At 38.5% G+C, this 11,411-nt stretch overlaps 1 protein-coding gene across 30 annotated transcripts in view; it reads right to left on the bottom strand.

Annotated features, from left to right (window-relative positions):
- The window catches only part of ADAM22 (ADAM metallopeptidase domain 22), a 268,639-nt gene continuing 258,698 nt past the window's right edge, over positions 1,471 to 11,411 (bottom strand). For 27 of the 30 annotated variants that reach the window (XM_017012330.3, NM_001391975.1, XM_017012335.3 and 24 more), the window contains 2 exons: positions 11,121 to 11,244; positions 1,471 to 7,889 (listed from right to left, as the gene is read on the bottom strand). In XM_017012330.3, coding sequence (XP_016867819.1) covers positions 7,869 to 7,889; positions 11,121 to 11,244 — 145 coding nt within the window. In that variant the 3' untranslated portion in view covers positions 1,471 to 7,868. The remainder of the gene's footprint in view (positions 7,890 to 11,120; positions 11,245 to 11,411) is intronic. The other 3 variants (XM_017012333.3, NM_001324421.2, XM_006716029.5) reach the window with 1 other exon arrangement.

Here is an 11,411-nt window from a genome sequence, read left to right as displayed (position 1 = left end):
TCCCTCGATGTAAGGCTTACAGGTCCCTCCCTGGACACATGGGGATTACAATTCGAGATGAGATTTGGGTGGGGACACAGAGCCAAACCATATTAGACATCATTCAGTTAATTCCGTTTTAATTATTGATACCTCAAAACGAATCTCTTAATCTCCTCCCCTTCTGCTTTCACCCATTCTTTCCAAAAGCATGGAGCATAGTTTTCAGTATGTCCCTGCAGTTAGAAAAAGTTTCCTTCCCGTTGACAAATTTGATGTATTCATCTCCTTTAATTACAGCCAGTCTTCATTACAAGTGAAATCTCCTGTTGCCTTATTTCTATTTTATGTTGGGTTGTGTTTAATTCATTGTATACTTCTAGTGTAGCCTCACCCACTACTTTAAAATTATTTCCTGGTCTGTTTACTTTTTCTTAAAGAATCTAGTTGGAGCATGGTAAAGCTGTGAGCTCAAGCTTGAATACTTCAACTATTTGGAGAATTAAGCTCCTCAAATCACCCTCATTAGGATTTAATTTTATTTTGGAGATGTGTGCTTTACTCATGTGTTTCAAGAGATCCATGATTTATGAAGTACTTTTAACACATTTCGTGCACTTACTTCCATAGGAATGTGGCTGCTAGAGACCTGGTGCTTCCTGGGGATAGTTGGCGTAGATTTGCACCACAGCAGTCATATTAAATTAAAGCTCTTGCTTCTACTGAGCCAAACTGGAGTTTAGACTGTCCTTCAGCATGATGTTCCAGGTGGTACCATCAAGTCCACGAGCTGGCTGCCATCTGTGAACTAGACTTTGCTTTGGCTCAGCCGAGTTACTGTTTCAGTGTTCATCTAAATGACTTATTATATGACTAAAATATTATAAATGCAAGAAATGGAGCTATGTGTAATCACCATAAACTTTTAAAATCTCATACTAAATGTACAAACCCTTCATCAGTGACTTCCTTCTCTTTTTCTCACATTAAAACAATACCTTGACTACTTATAACTTATTAACTATGCAGCCTATGAACAGATGGCAAGGACCCCGCAAATGCCAGAATAATGACGGGTAGGTAAAATGCCTGCCTGGAAGATGAAAAAGCCAGGGTGGAACAGTTTTTAGGCAATGAACTCATGAGCCCATCCTAGGCTCAGTGCTTTAGAATGCAGCACAGGTGACCTTATTAACTAAGCACCACTGCCTGGTCTACAGGACAGGATATAGGAAATTGATCCTCATTAGGGTGAGAGAGGAAGTGCTTACAAGGAGAGGCAAATAGATAAATAAGTAAACTACCTCTGCCATCCAGATGAGGAAACTGCAACAAATCGAGCACTCAGGCTTTGCTAAAGGGTTGTATTTCTCATCATGTTAGTGACCCCTTCTGGGACACCAGTGAACAGGAAAGAAACAATCCCTTGACTGTACCCCTAACAAAGCTTCTGAAAGAGAAACTAGCTGGGAGAAAAAGAAGAGTCGTGCATCAAAATAACATAAATCTTTTATTGAAAGTCACTTTACTAATGTTACAATGGGAGTAACATAGAAAACCATGGTATCTTATTAGCTTCCGAAGTGAATACTAATAAAACTGTGCCAGAAATTTGAACCTTAAGTTACAGTGACCTTTAAAAACATCAAGATTTTGTTTACCTACAATGTAAGAACAATTTTATAACTTGAACAGCCATAAAACAAATCACACTTGCTCAGGAAAGCAGTTGCCATATACATTTCCATTGGTGTTTGCCATAACCCCAGTAATTATTAAAATAGCTTAACGAACCTGAAGTGCAGAGTAGCAGAGAAATGTTAAAATAATGCGAATCTAAGTATATACACATGATTACCTGATTACCAAAAGTGAAACCATGCTGCTATTAACACCTCCTCATGGGGTGGCTTCCACTATCTATAGATGCACATCACCTGTCAAAGGTGATAACCGTGGAAAACACTAGTGCCGACCTACTGCTGGCTAACATGTAAGCTACTATGTTTAGGTAAAACACCCCGTTTCTGAAAGAAGTTGTCTTTTGGGGGTGCTAGTTTGGAGGGGCAAGTCTTCCAGCAAGTTAAAAAAGGAGTACATGCTTATCTATCCTGAATAAGCCTTTTTTTAAAGCAGTTTTGCAGTTAGTGTAAAAAAAAAAGTTTTCCATACAAAACAAAGGTGTTGAGTCATTTTTGCCCTTTAAAAAGACTGGTTGTAGAATCAGAGTTTGATTTTGTGCTGGATTAGAAAAGAAAAGTGGGGTTTCTAGTCAGGCAGTGATACACATATATAATTTAGCAGGAACTTTTGTATTATTACTAAGTATTCATATCAGCATTTTCTGTATTGTGTTACTTGTTCAACTTAGCACCGCTATATTTAAAGATTGGGGCTATTTGCATTATTTTAGAGCTTAGCCATCCAACACAAATCACAGCCTGAAAATTCATAAAATAAGAGGCTAAGCCCTAAGGTGAATGCAGATCAGAATATTATATATATATAACATTTTTTACAAGAAAGGAAAATACCTTTTCTTCATAAACTCTTTGAAACTTTATTGATGATTCTGTATGTGCATTATCTTAAGAATTCGTCTCATTGTATGCCTTTTTGTAAAACAAAACCAAAAACACACATATTGCCTGGTTTTGATTTCAAGGATACGTAGGAACATGGAATGATGATTACTTGATGAAAAGCCTGCCAGCCTTGAAGCTTCCCCATATGATACAGGTTTTATGAACAGTGCAACAGGGATGCATCAGGCAGGAGTGACTGGCCTATTATGGACTGGACCACAAAGTATTCAGAGTCAACACTCAGTCAATCTGCCAAGCACAGAAGTCTGTCTTAGGCATCCAGCACCTCTCTTCCCACCACACCCCTTGTGACAATGTGTGCTCTCCTGCATATCTGGCCTCAGGAATCTTCCTGTGAATATCCATTCTGTGTCTATGCCAGGACTAAATGCCCCATGGTCTCCCAAAGTTCTCTGCTTCTTATCTCCTCCCCATCCTGAAATTCAGGCTTTTAGGACTCATCTCCCAGTGACTTCCTAAGTTGCATAAGCTGCTAATGTGCCAGTGGGTGAAGATAAAGATGCCTGCCACCTCTACTCCCTAGAGCATCCTAGGGATATAAAGGACAAAAGTACTAATTAGGTTTTTGGTTTTGAATGTTTTGTTTTTCTGCTTACAAACAACCAGAAGTTGCTCCATTTGCGGGACTAACAAAGCAATGAATAAAATGTCAGTAGAAACACTCCTGTTTTCTAAAGTCCTGCTGCATCTTTGTTCTGCATCCGCAGATGTGGGAGAAAAGCTCCTCTTGGAATTAAAAGCACCTCCCCCACAGAGCATATGCTATGAGCATGTGCCAACAATTCCCAGCAGGTGTACTTTTAACAGCGGGGCTACTCACACACAGCTGGGATGGGCTGCTGCCGCTCAGCCAATTTTCACAAGAGCAGACTGGGCCCCTCATTATATTATACTATCAATGGGAAACTGTTTATCAAAGTCCTTAGTTCTTCCATGCCAGGAGAAAAGTTGCTGCATCCAAAACCAGAGTAGTCTTATCCATTCAAAAACATCTCAGGAGGAAAACAAAACATTTGAGCCCCAAATTAAGCCCTATTCCACGGAAGTGTTTACTTCTTATACATCTTAAACTGTAGAGCAAGAATGAGAAATTTATCTTGACTCCATACATTTAACGGAGTGGAAAGGTATTTAGGTGGCAGTTTTAGAAAAAAACATAAAAGTGAAAGGAAAAATATAATTAGGTGCATAAAAAGTAGATATGATGCTGCAAATGGCAGTCAAGTGTTTCATGGAAAATTCATGCCAACTTACCAACTGGTAGGGTGATATTTACAACACGCTGCCCATGTGGGCATCCAGTGGCAGCAGCCAGATGTGTCCTATCAGACTGTGCAGGCAGCTGTCTTGTCCCTCCTCGCTCCTGCCAGTTCCTAACTTGGCTCTCCCCTTCCATATACTCTACAAGCTACTCAATATCCTGCCAATAAATTCTCTTTCCTTTAAGTAAAATAAAGTAAAATAATCTTTTCTTTAGATAAGAATTTATTATTGTGTTAAATAATAACATAAGAAAATATTTAAAGTACTATATATATGGTTAGAACTATACGACAATAGGAAATGAATGGATAAAATGAATAAATGAACAAACCTTATTTTAAAACACTGAAAAAAGTGAATAAAAATACCATATATCTTCTGGTCCGAAGGTAACTGTAAAACATAAAGAACAAAATCCCAAAAAAGGTAACAGGTAAAGTAGCCACAAGAGATCTGGGACAATAGACAGGATTAAATTATGTAGATATGCAAGGGAATCAATAGAAAAGAAATGTAAGCCTGTTATGAAATTCAAACATAAATAGTCCTTCTCTGAAAGTGCAGAGAATATCCAATTTTGTCTTTCTGACAACTTCTTTAGAAATCCTATTAATGTTACTTTCAGAAATTCTATGCCAGACTGACCTTATATACAAACACAATTTTAAAATTCTTTTTAAAGTAACAGGGAAAAGAGAGAGAAACTATGGTATCACTTAATAAAGCACCAATATCAAAGTGAAAAATAAGTTGGCATTTTAAACCCACATTTGCTTTATTCATCAACATTTTTTAAAGGAACAACTCTAATGATAGGTTATTCCTAATCGAAGCTCCGGGTGTCTTGTTAAAAATACAGCAACCACAGCAAATTGAAAGCCCTCACCATGTTGCACTGTCCGATGTATTCCTTTCCACAGATTGCATGTGCCCTGGGGATCATTTCCAGCCTGCAGCGTTCAGAGGACCATGCCACTTCCCATCTAAATAAAGAGTGGCTGGAGGACAGTTCATGTGGCCAGTCCACTCCATAAGGACTCTCTTCTATCCCATGCCTTCCTGTTCACACTTACTGGAGAGACTTAAATGTTCCTTTAAATCAGGGTTTACTGCACTGCAATGACTATGGATAAATGGAACTTCTCAGGCAGCAGGGTGCCAATCTGTAGTCTTATCAATGCATAAAACTGGAAGAGGGGAAAAAGGCATACAATGGAACATAAAGGCCAAATAACTGCTCTCTTCTGCTTAGCAATGATTTTGTAGTGGATTGGGAAATATAAATATTAGTTGCATGATATAAACTGTGATACGGCCTCAAAGTTTCTCTCCAAAATAGATATTTAAAGAGAAATAATGCTGTGCTTGTATATTTAATGCTACCTACCTCGGTGGATGAAAAGTCATAAATATTTAGATGTAATGCCTCTAGAACCCCAACCATGAGTATACATATAGATACTTCTTGAAACTCTCCCTTGAGACTATAAATTTGTCAATGAATCCCACAAATGGCTCTAAGAATGTTTAAACATGGGAGATAGAGTAGATTCCAAGAATAGAACATTAAAGTTACTGTATACCTCAAATCATAATCTCTACAAATAAAACAAAAATTTTTAGTCAGTTCCACAGGAAGGTTATTACCAAGGCGGGTAATTACAAACTATATACCTCTAGAGAAACCATGTCTCCCAAAAGGCACATGATCATGATTTTCATTTGAAATAATAATTTCATGTAAAAATAGGTGAGGGAAGAAAGACACACAGACGAATGATAGAGATCTGTTAACTTCTCAGCTAGCCATTTGTGGATTCTTTCAAATTAGAGTTTGTGTACCTGTAACTAGGAAGCATATTTACATGAGGCACCTTATATTCAAATCTATAAACTCTTTTATAGTCAAAATAAACCTTATAGCATTAGCCTTTTGTACACTCAGTACCAGGAAACATTCAGTGCACGTTACAGTGATCTTGGTAAAAAGTCACTTTATTTGCTACATCTTTCAATCTGTCTGCCCTTCTGTTCTTGGCTTGAGCTATGTGGCAACACTGCCCAACACTCACCCAAACCTTGGCCTGATGGATCGCTTTATGGTCATATCAACAATCACATCCCTTCCTGTCATGAAAAATGCTGTTTTACATTATGTAATTTTGGATCATTAAATTGCTTTCCAAACATTTCAAAGACTTTCAAAAGAGAGGTCCATTACAGAAGACATAAACACACAGTATAAAATGCTGCCTTCTAACTCGGCCCTTCAGTTTGGGCATGATATGTAATCAAATTGATTACATATGAAGATGATATGGATTTTGTCCATGGATACTATGGGAGAGGATCAAATTTAAGAGAGTATATCTGAAAACCTGTCTGCAGATTCCATTCCTCTTAAGAACACACAGCAAATGAGGAAATCAGAAGTATACTTCAGAGCAGACCATGTGATTGAGCCCATCAATCTCCAGCCTCACTAGGGTAGCTAGCTTTCTTTTGGAATGACAGATCTGCCATTATAACAGCTATCAAACTTTGGTTTTAAAGAAGGGTCTTTTAAAATAGAATCTTATTTTCCTATGGATTAAAAATATATGTTTCAAAGCATCAGATTCTTTCCCCCACCAGCTGTTAGTGTAACTTCGCAGATGCTGCATCTCTGTGGTTTAGATCTAACTTAACCCTTTATGAATGGTTGAAGCTGCTCAACTCAAACAGTAGAATCTTCCGTCATCTTGCTTCAGAGTCAGTGCAGAATGACTTGTTGGGATTCACATCCCAGTGATGACAAATATTCTTAATCAACAGTGTCAAAGTTGTTTTTGTTAAAACAAGTCATTCATTTCACAGATAAGGGTGACTACAAAGTTTTGCCAAGGAACAAAACTTCAGGCCACAAAGGGTTAGAGTATTGGCAAACCAGAAGCTACCAGCTCACTGGCAGTACGTTGTCTCATGTGTCTTTGGTGCACTTGCTTAATCTCAGCAGCACACACTGCTGAGGGGCTGGCTCACTGGGATGAGATGGGATGGACGGATGGGATAGATGATTTCCAGGGAGCAGCCCATCGGCAGCAGAGTGGGCTCCTGCATCAGCAAACTGTGGAGGCCAGAAGTTTTGCTGGGCATTTTGTTCTCTCACTCAACTACTCACTCAATAAAACTGCCTCCAGACTGTGCACAGGTTAAAGGGATATCACATGTTTTGGACAAATACGAATTATGGAGAGACACATTTACAGCATTGACCACTATATTTACATTACCTGCTTATAGTCTTTGAAGATCACTGGATGGATGACGATGATGTGATTGTGACGGAATTTTTAGGCATTTGGCAAAATACACTTGTGTGTAACAGCTGCATTTTTTTAAAATTTTAAAAATGTTACATATATACAATTGTCCTTGTATGCTAATATAAATATGAAAAGTAAAAAACAAAACAAAAATAAAAATACATGTTTAAAGTTAGCCTATGGGATATTGGCCTTTCAAAGCTTTAAAGTCCTGCAGAAAAATCCTATATGCCTTAGCCCTGCATGCTCATTTCTATTATGGGATGTTGTTTCCTTAAATATGGAAAACAATAAACAGAAGCTTCATGCATATAGCATTACTGTTTACAGTGAGGATGTGCCTCAGAACGTCAAGTTCTGAATCCACTATTGTACCTTAGGAAACTTGCTACATTTGGGTCATGTGAGTTAACTTTATGAATATTTCTACATATTATCTGTCATGCGGATTATCCATTAACATACCAGTACCTTTATTGTTCCATGTTATAGTGTAATATTTCAGTAGTTCTTTTCATGGTTAGTTAAATCCTAAGCCAATGACAAAAAGAAAATGGTAACCAGATGTGAAACTCCGCTTCCTCTCCTCTGTAGCATCTCAGAGGGTCTTCGTATTGTCTGAAGAGCAGATAGATTTGCAGTGATTCCATGAGCCTGGGTTTCTATAAAAGTTGAAGTAAACAGTTTTCGATGTATCACATGTAAACAGTTGATCTTAAATGGATGTCTCCCATAGCTGCACAACAGAAAAGAGCAAAATTGCACATTGTGAAAGCAGGAAGCAGATGTATTCTGAATAGGAGATGAAAAAGATTCAGTGATTCCATCCATATATATGTGATTGTGGATGCACACTCTTGCAAAGTCTAAAAAGTGGATAGAATAAACACTCCAACTTTTAGCTCTCTGTTTCCTCAAAACCTGTGTCTCAACCTTTTTAACAGCAGCCATCTTTTGATACAAAAACCATCACATCCTCATTTAATGTTACTAAACATTTTGAATAGAGTCAATATTGTGTCTCAAATGAAATAAAAGAATTTAAAATATTATTTTTTAAGCTACACATGCCCTTCCTTTCCCCAGGATTCTGAGACAGCCAGCTAGAGCAGTGGTTCTCAACCTCAGCTGCACATTACATTAATCTGGGGAGGTTTCTACAATTCCACTTCCCAGGCACCACACCAGACCAACTAAATCAAAATCTCTCTGGGTGGGACTCAGGCGTAAGAATATTTTAAAAGCTTTGCAGATGATTCCCTTGTGCAGCCACGACAGAAAACCACTGACATCAGGGAAGTGTGATTCCATCAATTCCACCATCACCCACTTGAAAATCACTGCCATACACTCCACTTCTATCACTACCTCCTTAAAAAATAGTTCTCTCAGCCGGGCGTGGTGGCTCACGCCTGTAATCCCAGCACTTTGGGAGGCCGAGATGGGCAGATCACGAGGTCAGGAGATCGAGACCATCCTGCATAACACGGTGAAACCCCGTCTTTACTAAAAATACAAAAAAAATTAGCCGGGCGTGGTGGCGGGCACCTGTAGTCCCAGCTACTCGGGAGGCTGAGGCAGGAGAATGGCGTGAACCCGGGAGGCGGAGCTTGCAGTGAGCCGAGATCGCGACATTGCACTATAGCCTGGGCGACTGAGCGAGACTCCATCTCAAATAAAATAAAATAAAATAAAATAAATAAAAGGTTCTCTCTCACAAGCTGAGGTATCACAGTGGAAGGATACATTCAAGGCAGGATGTCCCTTCATTCATTCTGTCCCTCTTACCCTCTCCTTGCTTTTGCCATGAGCTCTTTATATTGGCCCTGTTCCGGTCAAATTTCTACAATGTTCAGCAATCACCTTAATGGACTAATAACAAGTGTGACATGATCAGATATGAATGCAACTCAGTTCACCAGAAAAGGAAGACCAATTTAAAAAGAAGATCAAGCTGATGAAATATGTTTCCAGGCAATAGAATTTAGATATAATTATTATAAACATAAACAAATAAAGCCTATGAACACAGTGACTTAGGTTGTATCCAATTCCATCCAAATTCCATTTTTACTGGACATTTGGTGCATGTCGCTGTATATATAATGAGTTTCTGGGAAAGAAAAAGGAGAAAAAGCCAAGTGAGTAAGTAGATGTTTCTATATAGGTTCCCTTAATATGTTCTCCCAAATCTTCATGGAAATCTTGTTCTGAATGCCCATGTCTGCCTACTCCACAGGACTGTGGTAAAGCCACCATGCTATCTACCTTAGGTCATTTTATATGCCCTTTTTATTGAAAAGACACCAACCCCTTGTAAACCACAGGAATATCTGAACTGTGAGGATCTTCGTGAATGGGTGACACTGGTGGTGGAGAGGAGTTAAATGGGGCTTGTGGTGGGTCTGGAGCAAAGACGATCTGAACTGATGCTCAGATAATGGTCTGGAGGGCTAAAGGGATTAGACTCTGGCCTCAGAGAGCTGAAGTTTCCTCAATATTGTTTTATAAAGATTAAAAATAATATGTGACAGGAGAAAGAAGGGAGGGACAAATGAACAACATTGGGAAAAACCTGAATGTCATGATTACTCCAGTGAGAAAAAATGAGCAATTGCCAAACATCACTTTCAGCACTAGGCATGCCTTGGCCCACGTCTATGTGGTGGTAACAGAGGGGCTGCTGATAGGAAGATCTGCTTGTTCCACTCTCCACAGCCCACAGAGACAGCCCAGAGACAGGGGCTGTGTATTTGGTAGGATTCTGCCACATGCTTATGTGGCTGTTCCACAGTGCATAGAACAAATCAGACTTTTCAGGTAACAATCCCAGCAGCCAGAGCCTTTGTGGTCACCTGCTCAGCCCAGGGCCAGTCATTTTTTCTAGGGAGCTATCATTTTTACAGGCTCTTGTGTGGTAACATCTCCAATAACCCAAACTCTGACATGACAACAGCTGAGGGAATGTCCCTAACTTGATGGAACAAAACAGGGATGCAGACAATTTAGCAGAAAGTGGGTTGCTACACTTAGACAATTATTTGAGGAGGGCAGGAATGACCTCAGTCTCAGATTTCATTATCACACATGACATCATGAACAACTAGGTATCTATCAAGAAGTCTTTTGTTAATTCAGAAAGCTGAGTGCTGGGAATCTGAATTGTCTTGTTATCTTTTACCATTTCTCATATTAACATATAATGGTAATTTTTTATGATTAACAAAACACTGCTGGTAGTTTTTAAAGACTTTTGGATTATAGTGATCTACACAGCTTTTAATTATTTGTGCCTTCTTACTGACTCTGAGTTAAAATTAAAATTTGAATGATCCACGTTTACCTTGAATCACATAATTTAGGTTTGGGATCAAAGAGATTCCGAAACATCTCTGAAGACCAAAGAGTCTAACCAGCAGCTAAAGCTGCCGAGGCTTATAAGCTTTATTTTATTTTTTTGCAACATTATTTCTAAGAAGATGAACATTACAGTGTAAATGACCACAACAGAGCCTGGACATCAATAAAGGTAATTATTCTTTGGTTACATCTTTCACTTAAGTCTCTGAGGACCAGTCTGCCTCTCTAAGCTCCACTGTATCTCGAATTTCACATACTGATATGTTTCAGGAATGTTGTGAGACAGTGGCAGTGTGATTAAAATGTAAAAGGTGATATAGCAAAATACACTGTTTTGTTTACTGTAGGTTTTAATAAATTAGCTACAATAATTAAATATATAGCAATTAATTACACAAAATGTACCTAGACTGTATCAATGCAGATTAAACTATTTGCAAATATAAATCTGAAGCCAAAAGTCTCAAGAATCTCCTTATTTTCAAGTTTGATTTTTTCATTTTCTTAGGAACAAGGGAGGAAAAATGGTTCTCTCTTTTAAAATATAAACTCATAGATAAATGATAATGACTGAGCATGTACGCACATGGAAGAGGTTTCCACATACCCTGGCACTTTGTCGGTTCACTTTCTTGTCCTCATCAGGAAGTGGAGGCATTGGGTAAGGGTATTTTCTGCTGGAGGCAATAGACCCAGTTGATGAAGAAGGAGACTTGGCAGGAGATAAAGTCCTGAGATGTTGAGAACATGAATTAAGTATCATGTGATTGCCTAACATTTTTCAAATATCTGAAAAGTGTGTTCAGAACAAACCCTCTGACTTCTAACTTTCATATACCACTACTGCAAAGATTTAACTACTGGGAAGATATTCTGTCATTCTCAACAGTGAAATGCT

Source organism: Homo sapiens, chromosome 7, assembly GCF_000001405.40.
Source record: "Homo sapiens chromosome 7, GRCh38.p14 Primary Assembly".
Taxonomy (NCBI): domain Eukaryota; kingdom Metazoa; phylum Chordata; class Mammalia; order Primates; family Hominidae; genus Homo; species Homo sapiens.
Note: the sequence above shows the minus strand (reverse complement) of the source record. Positions and strands in the feature narration are given on the sequence as shown.